The sequence below is a fragment of the Homo sapiens genome, chromosome 8, assembly GCF_000001405.40.
Source record: "Homo sapiens chromosome 8, GRCh38.p14 Primary Assembly".
NCBI classification, from domain to species: Eukaryota; Metazoa; Chordata; class Mammalia; order Primates; family Hominidae; genus Homo; species Homo sapiens.
The window spans coordinates 18,782,220-18,806,670 of NC_000008.11; the positions used below are offsets into that span (position 1 = coordinate 18,782,220).

General features: G+C 37.5%; 1 protein-coding gene across 32 annotated transcripts in view; it reads right to left on the minus strand.

Annotated features, from left to right (window-relative positions):
• The window catches only part of PSD3 (pleckstrin and Sec7 domain containing 3), a 557,503-nt gene that overhangs the window by 254,917 nt on the left and 278,135 nt on the right, over positions 1-24,451 (minus strand). For 30 of the 32 annotated variants that reach the window (NM_001412865.1, NM_001412866.1, NM_001412872.1 and 27 more), the window contains 4 exons: positions 22,485-22,679; positions 22,303-22,383; positions 19,051-19,163; positions 17,076-17,134 (listed from right to left, as the gene is read on the minus strand). In NM_001412865.1, the coding sequence (NP_001399794.1) occupies positions 17,076-17,134; positions 19,051-19,163; positions 22,303-22,383; positions 22,485-22,679 (448 nt within the window). Of the gene's footprint in view, positions 1-16,928; positions 17,135-19,050; positions 19,164-20,942; positions 21,061-22,302; positions 22,384-22,484; positions 22,680-24,451 lie in introns of those variants that run through there. The other 2 variants (NM_001412890.1, NM_001412892.1) reach the window with 2 other exon arrangements.

Here is a 24,451-nt window from a genome sequence, read left to right on the forward strand (position 1 = left end):
TTTCATGCTTCCTTGATTTCTCATGTTTCTTGTGTCCTTACATTTATATCTATGCATCTGGTGTAACATTTGCTTCATCCAACTCTATGGATTGGGTTTCGAAGGGAAAGACATTTTTTTCTATAGAGCTATCTATAGAGTTGTTTGGGTAAGGCGTTTTGGCTTTGATTCTGGGTGGGAGAAGCAGTGCAGTCTCCATATGACTTCTTTGACTATCTTTAGCATCAGTGGTGTCTATGAGTTCCTCAGTGGATAAAGCTGTGGCTTTTAGTAACGGCTGTAGTGAGGCTTTGCTAGTGAAAGGGACATCAGGCAGGCCAGTTCTTAGGCAACAGTGATGGCAACTCTGGGATGGATATGCAGGATCTCGGTCAACACACGTGGATATTGGTAAAAGCAGGTCAGGAGGACGAATCCTTGGTCTTCAAGTGGATTGTCTGTGTGCTAGCAGTGGCAACAATGGGCTGAGTGAATGGGTCCTCAGGCCCTTAGATGGTATGCATAATGTCTGCGGCTGCAACAGCAGCAGAGGGCTAACTTGGGGCCCCAAGCTACAGCTTTGGGTGCCAGCAGTTAGGGGTACAAAGGGCCTAGTGGCCATCACCGAGCATCCAAGTGGCACGCAGCTGGGTGGCACATGGCCGTAGGCAGGGCAGTGGCAGTCTCACTTGGTCATGCTATATAATCCTTTTTATATTTTGTTGAATTAGGTTTGTTTTAGAATGCAAGAAATATTCATAAGGGATATCTTTATCATGACTTGTCTCATTTTGGTATCAGGGTAATAGTGCTCTCATAGAATTACTTAAAAAGTGTTACTCTTTTTTTCTGAAGGGTGTAAAAAAACTGATGTTAAAACTTCTTTAAATGTCGATGCAATTCACAAGTAAAGCCATTTGATCTTAGGCTTTTCTTTGTAGGAAGTTTTCTGATTACTAAACTCTTCACTTGCTAAGGATCTATTCAGGTTTTGTTTCCTTTTGAGTTTCAGTAGTTTTTATCTTTCTAAGAATTTGTTCATTTCATCTAGGTTATCTAGCTGTTGACAATATTCACTTACAGTAGTTACTTCCATAAGGCCAATAGTAATGCCCTCTTCATTACTGATTTTAGTAATTTGAGAGTTCTTTTACTCATGGTCAGTCTAATTCAACTTTTGTCAGTTGTTGATCTTTTCAAAAAACAAGCTTCTGATTTCATTGCTTTTTCTCTATTACTCTTCTATTCTCTGTTTAATTCATCTTTGCTCTGATTATTCTTTCCCTTCTTTGGACTGAGTTTGCTTTTGTTTCTTTCATTAGGTTAGACTGTAAATTTGACATTTTTCTAAAATACAGCAATTTAGAGCAATAATTTGCAATTTGGCAATTCATCAGCTGTATACCATAAGTTTTTTATGTTGTATTTTCATTTTGCTTTTTTTGTTGTTGTTGAGACGTAGTCTTGCTCTGTTGCCCAGGCTGGAGTGCAGTGGCACAATCTCAGCTCACTGCAACCTCCGTCTCCTGGGTCAAGTGATTCTCTCACATCAGCCACTCGAGTAACTGGGATGATAGGTGCATGCCACCATGCCTGGCAAATTTTTTGTATTCTGAAGTAGAGATGGCATTTCACCATGTTGGCCAGGCTGGTCTCGAACTCCTGACCTCAAAGTGATTTGCCTGCCTCGGCCTCCCAGACTGCTGGCATGAGCCACTGCAACCGGCCAACATATTTTTATTTTCATCACTATCTTTTAGTTCCTCTTGTAAATTTTTTTTGGACCTATTGGTTATTTAGGAGTATATTGTATGACTACATAAATGTCCTTTAATTGATTTCTAATATCATTCTATTATGTCCAGAAACATGTTTTGTATGTTTTCAATCCCTTTTTGCGAATTTTGTCCTATCCTTGAGCATTTTTCATGTACACTTTAAAGATTACTCTCCTGTCATCAGGTATCTGTTAGATCTAGTTGGTTTTTATGTTGTTCAAGTCTATTTCCTTGTTGATATCGTGCGTGGTGATTCTAAGCATTATTTAATATACGGTGCTAATTTCTCAATAAAACAATTTCTCCCTCCAATTCTGTCCATTGTTCTTTCACGGCTTATTATGTGTTCAGAAGGAATAAGACTTTTTCCCTACACTCATACACCACTCAACACAATAGTCACTGAAGTATGTGGGGGTTTCTCCACATTCACAACCAATTCTCCAGGAGACACCAGTTGGGTGTTTTATAATTCAATTATAATACTATGTATCTGCTGATTTCATGAGCTCATACAGGTTAAGGGCTCAGCCCTACAAGATCACCCCAAGTTTCGGGTGTCAATTGGTAGCAGTGGGTTGTCAGTTATACTTCTGACCAATCAGCTATAAATGGGGGTTTGCAGGATCATCTATCTGGGTTTAATTTACTAGGAGGGCTCACAGAACTCAGGGAAACATTTATCCCTTTAATATCAAAGATATTGCAAAGGATATAGATAAACAGTGAGATAAAGAGATACACAGAGTGAGGTCTGAAAAGGTCCTAAGTGTTGGGGCTTCTGTCCCTGTGATGTTGGGATGCCCACCTTCCAAGCACATAGATGTACTTGCCAACCTCAAAGCTCTCCAAACCCCATACTTTGGGTTTTTACAGAGGCTTTATAACACAGACATGGCTGATTAAATCAATGGTCAGTGGTATTAACTAAACCTTCACCCTATTCTTGCTCCCTGGAGGTGGGGTGTGTGCGGAAGGAGGGGAGGCTGAAAATTCCAACCCTCTAATCACATGGTTATTTCCCCTAACAACCTGTCCCCTTGCTGAGCTTATCTAGGAGCTCACCAAGGCTTGCCTCATTAGAATAAACAATGCTCCTATCATTCATCCAAGGCATCTAGGAACCCTGTGTCAGAACTGCTGTCACTCAGGAGGTCCATTTCAAGAACCAGGAGCAGAGACCAAATCTGTATTTCTTATTTGTCATAGTATCACTGGGGCTTATATTGATTGGAAGTGTTTTATCACCTTGATGAAATGACCCTTATTATAAAATGTTCTTCCTTGTTTCTAGGAAAAAATATCTTACCTAGACCTTCTGGATAGCTTGCCTCAGATTCTACATTAGCACTTGCTGCTCCACCAAGCATTTTAGGTTATGAAGACACTTTCTTTCCTAAAACTTCATGAACCAAGTTCTCCTAGCTTCCAACTTTTCTTCTGCAGCTTCCTCACCTCTCTCGACCTTCATAGAATTGAAGAGACTCAGGGCCTTGCTCTGGATTAGGTTTTGGTGTAAGGGAATACTGTGGCTGGTTGGATACCCTATCTACACCACCAAAACTTGCTCTGTATCAGTAATAAGGCTGTTTTGCTTTCTTATTCTTGTGATCACCGGAATGGCACTTTTAATTTCCTTCAAGAACTTTTCCTTTACATTACAACTTTATTAACTGTCTGGTGCAAGAGGCCTAGCTTCTGGCCTATCTCAGCCTCACTAAACTTAATCATTTCTAGGTTTTGATTCAAAGCGAGACGTATGAAACTCTTCCTTTCACTTGAACACTTAGAGGCCATTCTAAGGCTATTAATTGGCCTAATTTCAATACTGTTGTGTCTCAGGGAATAGGGAGGCCTGAGGAGACAGAGATGGGGGAATGGCCAGCCTTTGGCGCAGTCAAAACATATATATTTATCAATTAAGTCTGCTGTCTTATATGGGAATGGTTCATTGAAAAATGGCACTGATAAGACTCGCTTGACGCAGGGTTCCATCAACCTTCACTTTGTTAGGAAAAATGTTCAGTGACTGCAAAGTGTAATAAAGCAAAGGACAATAAAATGAGATACGCCTATACTTAAACTTACAATAAAAAGTTTCCCTGTGGTCCCAGCTGCTCGGGAGGCTGAGGCAGGAGAATGACGTGAACCCGGGAGGTGGAGCTTGCAGTGAGTCGAGATTGCGCCACTGCACTCCAGCCTGGGTGACACAGCGAGACTCCGTTTCAAACAAAAAGTTTTCCAATTTAAACTTGAAGAAGAGATACTATTTAAAAAAAATTCTTTTGGGAGATTCATGAACAAGATATTTAAAGGCTACAGAGTCAAAAGTGTTTTTTCAGGACACCATTAATTTCTACTTTAAGGAATTATTAAAAACATCATTTAAGTAATAATTGTCATAATTCATAACATTTTAAAACAGTAAAGTCTATGAAGCTATTTTGGTCTATGAAATCATACCTCATCCTAAATTCAGATTTACTTTAACTGCTTATTTGGCAGTGCCTTCTGTCCAATTTCAACAGTGACCATACCATTATCTATGTCAGCACAAAGATACCAATTTGACTCACGTGGACTTTGAAACAGCCATTAGGAAAAATAGCAGTTAGGTGGGCAAGATGGATATATAGATTCAGACCAACAAAAGCCAATTCAAATACTTGGAGTCCTACGCAGTAAGCAAGTATTAGTACAATCATCCAATAGACTGTACCTTAATTTTCTTTACTGGTTCAGAGAATAAAGATAATGTGGTTTTCTATGTGTTAAAAATGTCCAACAACTTCTCGAATGCTTGACTAGCTGAAGTTGCTTTTATCTGTTGATTGTACTCCTCTGACTCACTGATCATTCTTCTAGGCAAGAATTATTAGGAACAAAAGGTGAGGAGTCAGATCAGTCCATTTTGCTGCTTACTGGCACATATTTAAACACATTCCTTCCACTCAGGCGTTTATACCATTTCCAAAGGGAATAAAAGTAAAATGAAGTCTTTGTCATCAAGAAATACTCCTCACGATGTCTGGATTTTTTTCTCCTTGTCATGTACCAGGCTGTCTCAATTATTTTAAAATACTATTATTCAGGCAAACACTACTCAACGAATAAAGCAAATTCTAATCAGTGATTTTGTGGCTCAAGGCTTCATAAGTATCCAAGAGAAGCTCATACACTATCACAGTTCCATTCATTTTCTTCCCAAATTAGTTTTGGATAACTTTGCATAAAAGTAGTTCTGCTCTGAAACAAATGTTGACCAGTTGCATGCCAATAAAGTACTTTAATAATACTTTTTCATATTTTAAATTTCTTCCCATTAAATCAATAAAGCATGGAGATTTGAAAATGCCTCCTGATGCATTGAGAGGTACAGAAATGGTACCTTGAAATCAATATATTTTCTATCAAAACAGATGCAACTAAAGATGAAGCTCTGGATCATTACCTTTAAAATCAGTAGGCATTTTAATCAAACTTAAAAAATATCAAATAACAAAATAGATGACAAAGTGGAAAGTTTAAAAAAAAATTCTATTTGGAACCCCAAAATTCCAGGCAGGCCCAATTCTTAAATATTTGGCTAATCAAGGTATCATCCTTTATGGGAGCAAATATTAATCAAAAGTCAAAATACTCTCTATATCGGAGGCCTACGTCATCCCGCAACAATTTAAGGCTACTCTCTGCAGCGACAATATTACCATTTTCAAATGCTTTCTTATGATAAAAAGATGTTTTCTCTGTTTGTGTTCGTTTAAAGATACATTAAATGCCCTTTAGAGCAAAGTTCCTTGATAAATTTATCATTTCTGGAAGAACTTATCCTCAATATGTTTAATACATTCCCATAAACAATTTTTAGTAAAGAATTTGGGGAAACAAGTGTCCAAGCTCTAGCAGGTTTCGTGAACTAAGGGCAAGACTCCAAAACAGACAAATTCTGTAAATTTCTGTAAAGGACCAGAGAGTAAATATTTTAGGCTTTGCAAGTCATATATTCTGTTACAGTTATTCAACACTATAATTGGTGTGAAGATGTAAACAACTGGGTTTGGCTATTTACGATAACACTGATTTACAGAAACAAGCCCCAGATGGATTTTGCCTATGAGTCATAACTTGTCTACCCCTTGTCTTAAAGAAAACCAGAAGGAAGTGGTATTGGTACTGAGGACAACATCGTGAGCGAGCAAGCAAACAGGTTAGGCATCCTGATGTATTCTATTCTCCAAATGCAGGTTTTCGCTTTGTTAAAATAAAGGGCACTTTCCCCTGACCATAACAGAGAAGCAGCTCCCAACTTCTGTTGCAATAACGAGAGCAAAGGGGAAAATGAAGATGGAGAATTTCATTCATATCAGGAGCAGCCAGAAACCGTATACAAGCTTCGGCACCAAACTCAGCAAGCGGGTGACCAAATCTTTGAGCGTGCCATCCCTGGCAATCTGGGGAATGTAACCTACAAAGCTCTGACCATCGCCTAACTTAAAATCAGCCCTAGGAGAGCTGCGAATAGGGCAGCTGTGTCAATCAGGTATTCACTAGGAAAGCTGACAACAGCATATACTCTGATTCAGAGGTTGAAGAATTAAGCATAATGATTCTAAAATTCTTCATTTTTGATAGTGTCAGGTCTGGAAGCTTTGCGGAAAACGTGCTTTTGGAGAAACTAAAAGCCCTCATCATCCATTGGTAAAATCTGGCTTCATAAATCTCAGGATATTAAAAACACAGCAGGCATACTCTCCCATATGACAATTCCACCTCCTCCAACATGTTACAATAAATGGTGGAAAGGCATACTACTGATTTGGTAATTACTTCAGTTATGTGGCTCTGCTGAAAGCTCCTGTTTTGCTTTTATTTTGCATGCTTTGCTATCAAATAAGTTTGATTATGTCATGCTGCCCTCAGGTGTCCATTCCTTTTTAAATGTATGACTGGGGGGCAAAGGAGGACCCTTTGTAAATTTTAAAACCAGGACTACAGTGGATATTCAATGTGCTCTCTCACAAACCCTAATCACAGAGCTCATTTAAGTGCTAAAAGCTCAACATTTAGGAATATCTGATATGTCACTGGGACTTCTCCCACCTGTCCTATAATATCCTGCCTTTGAAAAAGGAATCAGAGTGGTAAAAAGAAAAAAAGGAACTAAAAATAGTACCACAGCACAGTGGTTCTCAAAGCGTTTCAGAGATACTGTTCCAGATGTCCATGAGGTCAACCCTATTTTTATAGTAACACTAAAAACATTTTTTTCATTCTCTCAAATATACAGTAGAGTTTTCTAGAAGATGCATGACTTCTGATACACTGCAACCGACTATAAACACAAACAGATATGAGAATCTAGCCATCTTTTACTAAGCCAAATATAAAAAGACTAGCAACAATTTTAAGTGCTATTCTTTAATATATTTCTCACTTAGGAAAGTATGACTATTATTCATAAATGTGTTATTCACTTAATGGGTTTTTAATGATTTAATGCAATTTAAAAATCTTATCAGTTTCAGTTCCAGATAAATATTAATATGTAAACAAAAGATTTTGGGGCTTCTCAAAAATTTTAAGAGTATAAAGCTATCCTGGGACCAAAAAGTTTTAGAATACTGAAATATCAGACTTCTATTGATATTTCATGGAAAGCACTTCCCCTAAAATTTGAAAAGATAAACACACCTAACTCACTGTCAAATTACAAGGACTAACCAAACAATTTTTAACTTGATTGCTGTAGCAGGACTGGCATTAAAGTAAGCAACAGGATTGGAAACAAGAGTCAGGGGTTTCAGCCACCATCATCCTCATTCCTCCCTCCTTCCTCCACAATCAATTTGCAGAAAGTAAGAAAGAGCGAAACTGACTTAGAATTTGACCTGCTTTCCTTGATCACGTTCTATAACAGAACTGTGCCAATGTAAAAAGCTTACAGTGATAAGAAGACTGAATAATGTGTAAGTTAGATAATATGAGGTCCCTCAATAAGCCCCACTGACACAACTGATTAAAGCTACCCTGAGGTATTTTCCATATATAAACCTGTTCTTAAAAAAGCAAAACTACCAAAAGTGGGAGGCTAGAGGGTGGGGAAAGGGGACAGGTGAAGGAACAGAGGATGGAAAAAAGGAAAGAAGGCTTTCATTCTAAGAGGTCATAGAATCCAACAAAATTGACCAGTGCATGATTAAACTATGGCATACTTAGATAAGGATTCCTATTAAAGTCTAGACCATTGGCAATATGATAGTAAATTATATTCTCAATTTCAATTTACAATTCATCATTTTTAGATCATAACATTTTTCTTTTTTCTTTTCTTTTTTTTTTTTTTTTGAGACGGAGTCTTGCTCGCTGCCCAAGCTGGAGTGCAGTGGAGTGATCTCGGCTCACTGCAAGCTCTGCTTCCAAGGTTCATGCCATTCTCCTGCCTCAGCCTCCCAAGTAGCTGGGACTACAGGCTCCCGCCACCATGCCTGGCTAATTTTTTGTATTTTTAGTAGAGATGGGGTTTCACCATGTTAGCCAGGATGGTCTCTATCTCCTGACCTCGTGATCTGCCCACCTTGGCCTCCCAAAGTGCTGGGATTACAGGCGTGAGCCACTACGCCTGGCCAACATTCTTCTATAAAAACATTTCAACACCTAATGGTTAGGTTCTCAGGCTATTCTCTATATCCTTATTGTGGAGACAGAAAGAGTATTGGTGAAAATGAACGCCAGGCCCCACTAGAAACCCTCTGCAACTGTGAGATCTAGCCCTGATCCTTCTCTTAGGACCACCGAGAAGCTGCAGGGATGACGGCCTTGGGGCCACTGTGTCTGGGAAGCTCCAAGTCAGGTAAAAACATAGACCAAAAGCTTCTCAAGGTGATAAGCAACCTTGGCGAAGTCTCAGGATACAAAGATCAATGTGCAAAAATCACTAGCATTCCTACACACCAAAAGTCAAGCCGACAGCCAAATCATGAATGAACTCCCGTTTATAACTGCCAACAAAAGAATAACATACCTAGGAATACAGCTAACAAGGGAAATGAAGGACCTCTTCAAGAAGAGCTACAAACCACTGCTCAAAAAAATCAGAGATGACACTAACAAATGGAAAAACATTCCATGCTTACAGAAGACTGGAAGAGTCAGTATCACGAAAATGGCCATACTATCCAAAGCAATTTATAGATTCAATGCTATCCCCATTAAACTACCATTGACCTTCTTCATTTAATTAGAAAAAAACTATTTTAAAATTCATATGGAAGCAAAGAACCACCCAGACAGTCAAAGCAATGCTAGGCAAAAAGAGGCAAGCTGGAGGCATCGTGCTGTCTGACTTCAAACTGTACTACAGGGCTACAGTAACCCAAACAACATGGTACTGGTACAAGAATGAACACACAGATCAATGGAACAGAATAGAGAACCCAGAAATAAGACTGCATGCCTACAACCATCTGATCTTCAGCAAACCTGACAAAAACAAGCAATGGGGAAAGGATTCCTTATTTAATACATGGTGCTAGAAAAACTGGGTAGCCATACGCAGAAAACTGAAACTGGATCCCTTCCTTACACCATATACAAAAATCGACTCAAGATGGATTTAAGACTTAAATGTGAAACCCAAAACCAATAAAACCCTAACAGAAAACATAGGCAATACCATTCTGCACACAGACATGGGCAAAAATTTCATGATTAAGATGTCAAAAGCAATTGGAATAAAAGCAAAAATTGACAAACGGGATCCAATCAAACTGAACAGCTTCTGCAGAGCAAAAGAAAGTATCAGAGTCAACAGACAACCTACAGAATGCGAGAAAAATTTTGTAATTTATCCATCTGACAATGGTCTAATACCCGGCACCTACAAGGAATTTAAATGTATAAGGAAAAAACAAACAATCACATTAAAAAGTGGGCAAAGGACACAAAGAGACACTTCTCAAAAGACATATATGCGGCCAAGAAACATGAAAACAACCTTAATATCACTGATCAATATCGCAAATCAAAACCACAATGAGATACCATCTCACACCAGTCAGAATGGCTACATTATTAAAAAGTCAAAAAACAACAGATGATGGCGAGGTTGTGAAGAAAAAGGAATGCTTTTACGCTGTTGGTGGGAGTGTAAATTAGTTTAATCATTGTGGAAGACAGTATGGTAATTCCTCAAAGACCTAGAACCAGAAATACCATTTGACCTAGCAATCCCATTACTGGGTATATATGTAAAGGAACAGAAATCATTCTGTTATAAAGATACATGCATGCATATGTTAATTGCAGCACTATTTACAGTAGGAAAGACATGGAATCAACCTAAATGCTCATCAAGGGCTGGATAAAGAAAATGTAGTACATATACACCATGGAATGCCATGCAGCCACAAAAAGAGAATGAGATCATGTCCTTTACAGGGACAGGGATGGAGCCAGAGGTCATTATCCTTAGTAAACTAAGGCAGGAACAGAAAACCAATTACCATGTGTGCTCACTTGTAAGTGGGAGCTGAATGATGAGAACACATGGACACATGGGGCAGAACAGCTCACAGTGGGGCCTGTCAGAGGGTGGAGGGTGGGAGGAGTAAGAACATCAGGAAGAACAGCTAATGAATGCCAGGCTTAATACCTGGGTGATGGGCCAGTTAGAATGGTGATCATTAAAAAGTCAGGAAACAACAGGTGCTGGAGAGGATGTGGAGAAATAGGACCACTTTTACACTGTTGGTGGGACTGTAAACTAGTTCAACCATTGTGGAAGACACTGTGGAGATTCCTCAAGGATCTGGAACTAGAAATACCATTTGACCCAGCCATCCCATTACTGGGCATATACCCAAAGGATTATAAATCATGCTGCTATAAAGACACATGCACACTTATGTTTATTGCGGCACTATTCACAATAGCGAAGACTTGGAACCAGTCCAAATGTCCATCAATGATAGACTGGATTAAGAAAATGTGGCACATATACACCATGGAATACTATGCAGCCATAAAAATGATGAGTTCATATGCTTTGTAGGGACATGGATGAAGCTGGAAACTATCATTCTGAGCAAACTACCGCAAGGACAGAAAACCAAACACCGCATGTTCTCACTCATAGGTGGGAACTGAACAATGAGAACACTTGGACACAGGGTGGGGAACATTGCACACCCCCTGTCGTGGGGTGGGGAGAGGGAGGAGGGATAGCATTAGGAGATATACCTAATGTAAATGACAAGTTAACAGGTGCAGCACACCAACATGGCACACACATACATATGTAACAAACCTGCACGTTGTGCACATGTACCCTAGAACTTAAAGTATAATAACAAAATAAAATAAAAAATAAAAAAATAACTCTGTAAGGTATCAAAATAGAAAAAAAAAACAAAACAAAACTGGGTGACGAGATGATCTGTGCAGCAAACCACGTTGGCATTTGTTTACCTATGTAACAAACCTGCACATCCTGCACATAGACCCCTGACCTTAAAGTTAGAAATCAAAAGATCTTTGCAAATAATAATTTAGGAAAAAAAGCCAGGTAAGACAAGACAAACACGGCACCAAGGAGATAGGAGAGAGGACTCCAAAGGAGAAGGCAGTGCTAGCACAGTAGAAATTATGACCATGGATGGAATCTACAGCAGGGGAAAGCTCAGAGAGAAAACTGAATGCCAACGATAGCTTTCATGGCAGATGGCATCACCTTTCAAGGCAGAGGGCATCACAGATACAGAGAAGCACAGACAGAAGAGGTATCCACAGGGAAGATATTATCCTGCAGGACGATGAGAGGATAGCCTGCAAATGTACTTAACAGCTGCCAGTTACAATAGTGATCATTACAGATGCAGAGAGTTCTTGAGGATATTAACTCTATGAGGTTCATCAATATCATGGAAGTCTGTGATGTTTTTGACAGTGAAAATATAAAATAGCACAATATGAAGCTGTGGGGAAAAGCAAGAGAGATCAGATTGTTACTGTGTCTGTGTAGAAAGAAGTAGACATAGGAGACTCCATTTTGTTATGTGCTAAGAAAAATTCTTCTGCCTTGAGATTCTGTTAATCTATAACCTTACCCCCAACCCTGTGCTCTCTGAAACGTGTGCTGTGTCAACTCAGAGTTGAATGGATTAAGGGCGGTGCAGGATGTGCTTTGTTAAACAGATGCTTGAAGGCAGCATGCTCCTTAAGAGTCATCACCACTCCCTAATCTCAAGTACCCAGGGACACAAAAACTGCGGAAGGCCGCAGGGACCTCTGCCTAGGAAAGCCAGGTATTGTCCAAGGTTTCTCCCCATGTGATAGTCTGAAATATGGCCTCGTGGGAAGGGAAAGACCTGACCGTCCCCCAGCCCGACACCCGTAAAGGGTCTGTGCTGAGGAGGATTAGTAAAAGAGGAAGGAATGTCTCTTGCAGTTGAGACAAGAGGAAGGCATCTGTCTCCTGCCTGTCCCTGGGCAATGGAATGTCTCGGTATAAAACCCGATTGTATGCTCCATCTACTGAGATAGGGAAAAACCGCCTTAGGGCTGGAGGTGGGACCTGCGGGCAGCAATACTGCTTTGTAAAGCATTGAGATGTTTATGTGTATGCATATCTAAAAGCACAGCACTTAATCCTTTACATTGTCTATGATGCCAAGACCTTTGTTCACGTGTTTGTCTGCTGACCCTCTCCCCACAATTGTCTTGTGACCCTGACACATCCCCCTCTTTGAGAAACACCCACAGATGATCAATAAATACTAAGGGAACTCAGAGGCTGGCGGGATCCTCCATATGCTGAACGCTGGTTCCCCGGGTCCCCTTATTTCTTTCTCTATACTTTGTCTCTGTGTCTTTTTCTTTTCCAAATCTCGCGTCCCACCTTACGAGAAACACCCACAGGTGTGTAGGGGCAACCCACCCCTACATGAAGCATTAAATTTTTAAAATAATTTTTATAATAGTCATTTTCCACTACTAATAAACCAAATATTTATCCACTATTTAAGATTCTAGGCTCCTAGAAAGCCAATGCAATAATTAAGTTTATAGATTAGAAAAGAAATAATGAATTCTTACAATCTATCTCACACTGAACTCCACATTTTTTTAACACTGTTCTGTGACAAAACCTAAACATACTTTCTTCCTTGATTATATTCTTCTCCCTACCAGTAAGTTGTACTAGATATGGTTTCAACCCTTTCCAAACTTACAACCCAACACTAAAAACATTAGTAAGGTCGTGCCTGATCATTAAACTCAGACCACAGGGCATGATACTCAACATGCTCTGAGTATGTCAAGGGTAAAGTATATGTAGGAGGCCCAGCCCGAGAAAGAGAGCTACCTCTAAGAACCACAACCAGGCTCTTATACCAATTGTACATGGTGGGCTGGCTTCTGCCAATACTGGAGAACAGAGGGATGCTGGACAAAACTGCTACTGAAAATCTCAAGCCTTGATGTTAAAAGGTACATTTTGTCAAAAAATCTTGATTAAAAACAATGCCCTGGCTACTGCCTCTTACCATGGCCTGACCTTGGCCAGCCACTGACTTGTGTATCTCTTGTGACTTTCTAGTTGTGGAACTGGCCAGCTGACTATGCTCTGATCTATCTCACTCCTCACTGCTATGCAATTCTATACTTAACCCTCCTACCACCTTAGAACACCAGCCCTGGGTGATAATCCTGCCAGGACGGTAGGAACCTGACTAAACTGTGACTGAAGTACAAGCAAGCTAGTTAGTGGTAGGAAACAGAACGCATTTGAAGATCCATCCAGAAAGGGAGTAAGTATAAACTTATTCTGACATATCAAATCTTATCCATACCATTTCAAACAAGGTTGAAGAAAAAGACTTTCAACTCTTACCTTGTTGATAGTTGAAACAATATTCAATAAAACTTAGTTCCAATATAGCAAAGAAAGAAACTCTAGAGTTTAAGAGAAATGTATCTGTATGTGTAGAAGTTTAATTTACATAAGTATTTTGTAGATAAAGAGGCATTTCAAAAATAAAACAAATTATATAGCAAATTCACCACACGACTACAATTATAAAATATTTAATTTAAGGGAATAAACTACTTGCAGACAAGTAAAAACAAGTAGATACTCTTGCTAGGAAAATGATATATCAGTCACATTTTTTTAAAAGCAGGTACTGAATTCTCCCCCCAAATATTGTATATACTTCAGATTGTTTTTTATCTAGCCTAATTAGAGAAGTTTAACATGATCCAACATGAAATTAAAACACCTCCCCAGTGTTTTCCCATCATAGCACCTCAGCAACCTGCTACCATGTCTTCAGTGAAACCTGACTAATGAGGTCAGCCTAGCCAATACCATCAGAGAGGATTATTTGGCTTCCATGAACATTGTCTCATTCACCTCTGATCCTTACCCAAATGGCAAAGAGTATGGAAAGGAGGAGGCACACGCATGCTATATACATGTTTGTTGAAGGGGAAAGTTAGAAAAAGAAAGGGATTTCAACATGTCACATTAGCTAAATGTAAGTAAAATATTAGTATACATTCCATTATTTTATTAGTAAGGAAATTAGCAGGCCAAACCAAGGCCCATATTAATGCATTCTCAGTGCCTCATTCCTCAGAGTAAAGGAAAGGTTCACCAAGAGCAGCCAAAACAAGTTAATCTCCCAAGAGGGGAGTCAGACCTCCTCATAGGGGAGTCACCCCTCCCCTACTGAAAGCATATGAGGACAAGCTGGTCTTGGCACTTCTTAGAAAGATCATGCTGCAGTATTGCTATTATGACACAACGGTAAGGAAAAAAAGAATAATGGTTGATTAGTGTATTCCCCATGAAGATTATTCTGGCATCGGATCAAGTAATGGGTGGTCATATTCTAGGTAGTATAGCATTAAGGAGAAGGTGAAAAGGAGCAGAACAGTAGAAATAATTCATTTTATCTCCTGCATGATTCGATTTCATAGGGGCCATGCTGACAAGTCAAACAGACACTAAAACAACAACAAAAAAATCAGGCAATCATGATGCAAGAGAAGCTACATCCAGAATTATGGATTAAAAACTTACCACCTAGAAGAATAATTTATTTTTAAAATGAATCCAGAGGAGAAAGATAGAAGAAACATATTTACATGGTTAGTTCTTATGATAGCTACTATATATTCAACAGACTTGTAACAGCATGCATTATGGAAAACTAATACATAAAACCTAAATAGACAATCCCAAGTATATCGCACACATTTTTAAAACAGAGAACTACTTATCACCAAACACATGATCCTGAATATGACAGAGATTCACTGTTATTGATAATTTTCTCCCTCTTCTATCAGTAATTTTGCCACGACTGCCAATTATTAATTATCCATGATTGGCCTAACTCAAGGTAATATTAAAATGTTAATTTATGTAAACTCTTTTCCATCCCAGTTGCCAAGAAGAAGCAGGATGCTTCATCTAATCTCCTTACAATTCCTTGTAAGTCTAAAGAAGAGCAAATGTCCTAGATTTGCAGCTCTAAACCTGTAGCTACTGAAACCTGGGTGTCCACAGCTCATCTAGACATCAAGCATGCTGAGATATCTAATAAAAAATAACATCTTTATTGGTTGCTACATTTCAAGTTCTTATGATTCAGATACATGCTTATGTAAAAGTATTATTAAAGCTATATTAGCTTTTTAAAAATGCAATCTAGGATTTAGTAGAAACAAATCATCAAAAATGTGACAAAAGCTCTAAGAGATCTGCAACCTTTAAAGAGAAATTGCAATATTACTGAATTTTTTTCCTCCCACCATTAAACTTTTCTCAGTTAACAGATGCTAAACGTACAACTCTTTTATGTTGATGGAACCTCAAAATATCTAGTGTGAAGGGAATTCTTCACGCTGGTGATCACTGACTTGATTCAATGTTATATGTGGCCAAACGCACTCAAAATTTTCTCCTTTGGCCAGAAAGGCTAAGGAAAAGAAGGGTGCAAAGAGCAACTGTTATCACCAAACAGCCAGACAAAGCAGTGAAAACTTGCTTGGCCAGTAACACGAAAAAAGTGGTCATGACAATCCACTGACTGGCCATCCCTTTAACAAGCTGGATGAACATTAGATTGCGGTAGTCATGTCAAGATTCACACTGTGAAATGCCTGCATTTCCACATGGTGTATTAGCCGTGCTATACTGCCCAAGAATGCTTCCTGAAAGTATTTTCTTTTCATCTGTATTATCTCTGGACACGTGCTACCTATGTTTACAAGCCACTAAGTGATTCTAAATTCACCTCTTATATATGGCAAAAGGAACTTTCTAGCTGAGTATTTTGAGATATGTTAAAATGATGTTAAAATTAGGATTCTATCACTATATCTCCTGTTTGCTTTCTGGTGGTGGAACCCTTTCTCCCTGAACCCCTTCCTCTTATAACAGCTAGTCCAACTTAATGGTCCCATAGAGCTCCATGGTTCCTTTCTTAAAAGGGAACACTATATTTTCCAAAAAAGGAAATTATGTGACTAGCAGAATATCTAAATATCAATTTTTTATATGTAATTTTTAAATTGTAAGATATATTACGGCAAATCAAGGGATAATATACTCTACACAGACACCTGATTTTCTCTTCAAAATACAATCAGAATTCGTTAAATATGGACTAATCTATACTTACTTAGAGCAAAAATTACTTCATAGTCCCAGGTTCATTTATTTTAAAGAGTATTATGAAGAGTTCGAGTAAATGCTAAAATTCTACTTCTACAAAACTTGCAAATTTATATATAATTATACATTTTAACACTTTATCTTGTATCTTAAGTAGATGATGAGACGGTAATTAGTTTGTTTTATTATTTCAACTAGTAAAAGACTAGATAAGCTGAGGGGCACAAGAAAGGCTGAGTTATTCAACTCACTATGGTATGTAGGGAAAACACAATTCACATTTTCAGATCTAATTTGTATTCTCTCCATCATTATCTATCAACTGTAATTCTCAACCAGAAAACAAAAATAAGTAAAAGCTCTGTCTGCCATCTACTGGACAAAGAAGACACAGAACACACACATTACTGCTAAAACAACTCCAGACACCAGGACGATGGATTTAAAGTCATACTCTGTGCTAGCATGTGAAATAAAAAAATTATTTCTTTTTTCAAAGATTTCTTTTTATTCACCTGCCATGGGAACCATGTAGAGAATGGGAAACGGGGAGGCAGAAAATAAATGTGTTTGAACATAAAAGCAGAGATAAGCCCGACATGTTTTGGATCTAAGTTTCACAAATCCACACTTACGTGGCCATGTAGATCGGTATTAAGAAGCATTATTGCACAGGTAAGGCAATGGACTCCATCTAAAGAAAGATACAAGAAAAAAAAGCATGAATTCGCTTTTCACTGTTGGACTCCACCTTATTATCACTAATAGGATACACTCAGAACCTATGAAAACAGTACTGTGCTAGGTACAATTAGTCCTGTTTTAAGAAACAAAAAATGGATAAGAATAATTTATAGAAAGAACCTCAATGCACAGAACTGGACTCCACTGTTGATAAGTTGTTCTTACCTCTCTGGAGGACAGTTTGGTAGTAGATATGTAAAGCCTTCAAACAATGTCTTTTGATACAACAAATCGGCTTCTAGGGCTTTGCACTACAGCAATAATTAGTGATCTATACATAGTACAAGGATATCCAGACAAGCATTGCTTACAATGGGAGACAAGTAAATATGAGCCTCCAAAGACACATTACTGTTAGGTTAAAGTCATATAAAAATGTTCTCCAAGTAGAGTTAAGATTCTCCTTTCCAAACACTACAATTAGTTGTTCTCGTTACTCTCACTCTGCTAATTCTCTACACAAGTACAGTAGACAATAGCAGTTTCAGATGCAGTAAAAATCTTTTCAATTTACGCTAAATTAGAAGGTCTAATTATTGCACTCATAAATTAAAGCCAGGGTATTTTCAAAAGTAAGTTCTTTAGTATAGTAGGTGATTTCTGTTATCAGTGTCTCTAAATAGACACTACCAAATGGCTAAAAGTATATTTATTCTAGTACCACTTTATTATCACAAGTTCTACATATATTTAAAACAAATTCTCGAAAGTATTTTAAGAACTCAGCAGCCAACTCTCAAATATCCTCATCAACAGCCAATTAAGTCACGAATCCATATTTCTTATTTTATCCAAGAATGTAAACATATTCTTAGATTTGAAGAAGGTTCTAATAAAAATGGCCCACTTTTATCTCCTTCATTCTCTTGTCAGGGCTAATGGTGACAGAGATAGTGAATAACTGGTCTGAATAGCATCAGTTTACCGATAGGAATGTGACCTTAATCAGGTGATAAACTAACTGTGACTGCAGCCTTGGACATGGAGGGGAGGTTGAGGCAAGCACCTTGGCCAATACCAAGTAAACTATCCAGGTTAACTGGCAATACTGAAGCTAAGAGGTAATTACTATTTCTTGGGAATCTAGTCTCAGTGATTTACTCCATCATCTGTAAGTTTATGAAACATTTTCCAGTCACAAGTCAAAGTGCTTCACTTCAAACACTGAAAAGTGTACTTTATTGCAGGAACTGAAATGGAGGAAAGATCTCTCTTCACAAGGTAGGTCCACAAACAAACAGTTTACCATTAAGTCACTTACTTTGTAAAAATAGTGTAATATGCATAACCTCATAGTTTATTAAAATCATCAACAAAAGTTTGTGGTCAGTATAGTACAATTAATATCAAACGAAAGCACCAGAGACACAGCGCAACCACCAGTGAGATTTGTTAATTTTTCCAAAACTAACTCCAACACTCAGGATACATGAGCTTTCATCAAGAAACATAGAGACCAAATGTATAAGAAATAAGAAAACTGAAATTTCATTCATTACATAAAATCTCAGAGTGACAAACCATGAACAATTTAAAGAAAGTACGCTGTCACACTAGAGAAGTGGAAAACAAAATAATTTAAGTAAGAGTAGAGGATATCATGCTGTCCTTAAATATTATGCTTTTAAAGAATATTTAATGACATGAGAAAATGCTCACAATGAAATAAAAAGGCAGCTAAAAACAAAACTCTAATTCCAATTTGACATTAAATATTAAATAGACTAGAATGAAGTAAACAGAAGTGTTAATAGTTATCACTAGGTAACTGAAGATACATAATTTCTCACAATAAAATTTAACTTTCATAATAAGGAAAATAACCATTGATATAAAAAAGAAATTCAAGGATTTGTATCAGATTACCTTGTGAAGCAATGGTATCTGGGTTACAATAAAAATATCTATTGGAGAAGTGTATTAAAACTCTCTCTCGTTCTTGAGTTTCTCCCACAAGAGAGAATGCTTTAAAGAAATACCTACAAGAGAATTAAAAATTTAAACAGTGAAATTTTCGAAAATGCTATCACACTCTTTCATAGTTAAAAGTCAATTTATATAAACCTAAGATATTAATTATACAAAGTAAGATATTATGAAGTTATCTCCCCCCAAAAAAATCATTTACTAGACAGCCATTCAATATAAATTGGTATTAGTATTTAAATTCTATAAAAAGCACTGTGGGAGGCCAAGGCAGGTGTTCACTTGAGGTCAGGGGTTCAAAACCAGCCTGGCCAACATGGCGAAACCCCATCTCTACTAAAAATACAAAAATTAGCCGGGCATGGTGGTGGGCGCCTGTAATCCCAGCTACTCAGGAAGCTGAGGCAGGAATCGCTTGAACCCAGGAGGCGGAGGTTGCAGTAAGCTGAGGTCGCGCCACTACACTCCAGCCTAGGCGACAGAGTGAGACTCCGTTTCAAAAGAAAAAAAAAATGTCCACTTAAAAGATGACAGGGTGATAACAGAGTGGTCAGTACATCAAGAAAGCCTTGGGAAGGTAGGTAATTTCCTCATTATGACCAAGTGTCAAGTAGCCAATTTTAAAAGGTCAGATTTAAAAAAAACAAAGACCGCTTAAGACTCAATACATCATCATAAAGGCTATGTTTTAAAACTCTACACGCATCAGGGTGCTTCTGTCATTTTGTTACATGACTGTCATCTCTATTAAAGCCACTATGGATTGCATTGCTTTGTGCACAGGAGATTTCTGTTAATTGTGTCTGTTATCACATTTTAATATTAATTTGTTATAGGAGGAGGAAATTGGGAGATATAAGTAATTTATTCCTTACATAATGGAATTAGTTTATGTATAAAAATATCTTTAAATTATAGGAAGTGTATCAAAAACCACACATTAATCTACTCGGAGTCACTAAGAGCACTGTTTATTTGAGATGAATCCAGATGACCCTCACTTGACAATGTAGATTCATTTTCCTAAACATGAGATGGGAAGGAAAAAAAAAATCATTCAAAATGTCTAAGAAATCTTACTATGGTAAAAAACATACCATGAGCCTCATTTCTATGAAAATTTTGCCTTCTTCCTTATTATAGGTATAATTAAGATTAACAAACTATATATTGACAAAACTTTAATTTTTCATAACTTTAATAAACTACATCAGAATGCAAGGCAAAAATACAGATCTTTCATCCACTGATAACTGTTTTTGTTAGAAAATCTGAGTACCTTTGCTGCATGAAAAGAGCCCCACGATAAATCACTGCAGTACTACACTCCAGTCCAAACATCCTCCCTTCACCTCCCAGACCTCAGTTTCTTGATTTGTAAAATTAAAGGGTTACACTAGATGATCTCAGAATTCTTCCAGACATGGACATTTTATAAATAGTGTTGAAAATTAAATGCTGACTAGGTTTTACCTTCAGCTACTTAGAAACTTGTAATACAATATAATGTAAAAAGTGAGAATCAGTGAGTTTTAGACACCTTCATTTGAAAAGGTCAGAAAAAGTGGATATTGTTGCAAACAGTTTTATAGATACTTTCTACTGATTATGCTGACATTCATTTTTATTCCACTGAAGAGTTAATTCCAAAGTATCACCTTAAAAGGCTATTGGGGCTAGGTGCGGTGGCTCACGCCTGTAATCCTAGCACTTTGAGAGGCTGAGGCGGGTGGACTGCCTGAGGTCAGGAGTTCGTGACCAGCCTGGCCAATATGGCAAAACCTCATCTCTACTAAAAATACAAATAATTAGCCAGGTGTGGTGGTGCGTACCTGTAGTCCCAGTTATTCGGGAGGCTGATTCAGGAGAACTGCTTGAACCTGGGAGGTGGAGGTTGCAGTGAGCCAAGATGGTGCTACTGCACTCCAGCCTGGGTGACAGAGCGAGACTCTGTCTCCAAAAAAAAAAAAAAAAAAAAAAGGCTATTGGGCTATAGTAAGCAAATATAATAAGCAAATACTTAGGAAAAAAATCTAATTCTAATTCTACAATCTATAAACTGTGTGTGTGTGTGTGTGTGTGTGTGTGTGTTAAACTCATCATTCAAAAACCAAACTCCCTACTCAAAACAATTGAAAACAGGGTCTTGAAGAAATATTTGTCCACTCATGTTCACAGCAGCATTAATCACAATAGCAAAAGCATGGAAGCAACCCAAGCGTGTCCTGAAGCTGACGGTGGTATATATATTCCCCATAATGGGGTATTACTCAGCCTTAGAACGGGAAGACATTCTGATATATGCTACAAGAATGAACCTTGAAGACATTATGCTAAGTTAAATGAATCACAAAAAGGCAAATAATGTATATATCAATTTACATTACAGTAGTCAAAATCATCGAGAAGAGAAGTAGAATAGTGTTTGCCAGGGGCTGGGGGAAAGGAGGGGAAGGAAAAAAAAAGTCATTGTTTAACGAGTATGGAGCTTCAGTTTTACAAGAAGAGAATCATGGAGATGGACGGTGGTGACGGCTGGACAACATTATGAATGTTTTTAATGCCACTCATTGTATACCTAAAAATTGCTAAGATGAAAGATTTTATGCTATCTGTATTCTAACACGATAAAAAAACGAAAAACAGAAAAACTCCTACAGATGGCATTTTTTATCCAGATTTGCTTTGCTACCAATTGTTTACCACCTGAACTCAGGCTTACCAGTAGGTGTAGACTATCAATTCATGTGTCATTTCGTTAAATGAATACGTTTTTCTTACTCTTTGCTGTGTTTAATATCTATAATACAATTTGAGCTAAGTTCACAAACTACAGGTTAAACGTCCCAAACCCAAAAATAAGAAATCTAAAATGCTTCAAATCAGAGATGCTCCAAAATCTACAACACTTTTCAGTGCTGAAATAAGGTTCAAAGGAAATGCTCCCTAAAGCATTTCAGATTTTCAGATTTGGGATGTTCACTTGGATAAGTATAACACAAACATCTCTAAACCTGACAAAATCCAAAATCCACAACACTTATGGACCCAAACATTTTGGAGAAGGAATACTCCACCTATACATGGAGGTTTAAAAAAAAAAAATAAGATTCTAGCTAGAAGACATTACTTTCTTCTCTAAGAACTAATCATTTGAAAGCAATGACGAGCAGCAAGGAGGCTTAGTCATACCTGAGTGACTGATCCAGCGTCATTCCTGTAAAATCAAAAAACTTCAGATATTCTTCTGCAACTAGTTTGCTAAATTCGTTGCTATAAGAAAACAGAATAGACTTGGTTATTGAAAGGTAAACTATTTAAAACACACACAAAACAGGAGAGAATTCAGACTCCAGCAATGGGTCAGAACGTACTTCTTGCCAAGGTGTTTTGCAACATCTGATCTTTTGAATCTGTCCAGCTGATAAAGGCGTTTGGCCAACCTTTTGGCTGCTTCCACATTGCTGCTGGTACCATTACTGAGATTTTCTGGGGTCTCCTTTTCCAAAATTTCAGTGCTCCCCATTTCAGAATGAGCTTCTAGCCGTGTTGTTTTCACCCCAGCATTGCTATGATAATTGATAAAGAGAGAAAATAATAGATTTTTCTTATATGGCAAAAAGGAAAATATCTGATGAAATATTGATAGTTTTCTTTTAGTTCAGCTACACTTAGATGAGATCACTGTATGTTTAAATATTCATAAAAATTTTTTCAGTTACCATATTTTAAAGAACTAAAGAACAGATTGCCTAAATCTTAGGCAAGCAGTTCCCAAACTTTTCAGTCTCTAGACCTTTACATTCTTAGAAGGACTCCATACGGCTTTCACTTATGTGGGTTATACCTACCGATATTTACCCTCGTAGTAATGAAAATAGAAACATTTTAAAAATTCACTCACTTAAAAATAAATCTGTTTTACATAACAAATACTATAAAGATACAACTATTGTTTTCCAGAAGAACTAAAATTCACTGTTTTTTTAAAACACAAATTTCTTTAACAGCTGGCTTACTACAAGACAGTTGAATTCTAAGAGCCATTTCTACATTCAATCAGTAACAATATATTATTTTGGTTGAAACACATTAAGAAAATGTGCCCTCACTCATATTTCATTGGAAAAAAGAAATATTTTAATATCCTTTTCAGATAATTGTGGATATTCTTTTTTGATACAACACCAAAGTGAGACAAGTGGTAGTTTCTTAAAGGATATTCTTACTTGCAATATGGAATCTAAATTTGTGTCGATTAACTTTTTGTACTCTTATATTAAAATCTATCTTATACTTTGAATGGATCTTTTAACCCTTACATGATTTTGTAACATCACACATTGGTTATCTGCAAAACATGTGTTGACACATTTCATTATATAACCTTAAAAAAATCATATTCACTAATGTCACCATTAATGAAAAGTCTAAGTATTGGGAAGCTGCCAAACCTTTGCGGGCAGATACAAGTTTTCCAAAATCCTAACTTTTGTTCAAAAGCTCAAATGTAATCATTTGCTACAAATTATTATCAGCTGTTTTCCTTAAAGTAATAGGCTTACTCCATTTTCAAGAAAATGTTTGCCAATAACCATAGTTTGTCAGTCATTCTCTCAAGGAAAAATGACATTCAATGAAAAAAGTGACTAGTTTTTAGCCCCAACTTAAATGACAGACGAATGTTTTTCCTGGAGACTACCAGGAACAGAAGTGCTTTATTCCCATTTCATCACACACAAAATTAAAAAGACATGATCTCAAGCGCTGAAATGAAATAAACTGTACTGGTTTCATCAAGGATTTTTTTAAAGGTGAAACTGGCCTATATTTTTATTTTGAGTGCATGACAGTGGAGAATACGATGACTAGAAGAGTTTGGTGCCGCTGCCTTAAGTTCTACTAAGACCTCCACTATTGTTTTTGCACCATAAGATATCAACGCAGTGAAAAACAAAAATAGTGTTATAATAATTAGTGTAAAACAATTTTGATCTCATAAACCTAACTGAAGGAAGAAAGCTCCACAGGCAACACGTTGAGAACTCCGCCCTAGAAAGGGCTTAAAGACTACAGCCTGTGGTCAGGTATAGAGGGTTCTCTTGTATTTATAACAGTGAAACTAATGAGGATACATTAATTTCCAAATCTTTATCTTAACTTGGAAGTAAGACATGCTCATAATAAAATGTGCTTACACGGCCTTCGAACACACTTACCACAGATGCTAAACCAAGGGCGGTCAGAATTTTTCCATAATGGATGAAATAATAAATATCGTAGGCGTGCAGGCCACATATGGCCCCTGTCACACATGCTGCTTTGTTGTTGTTGTTTTGTT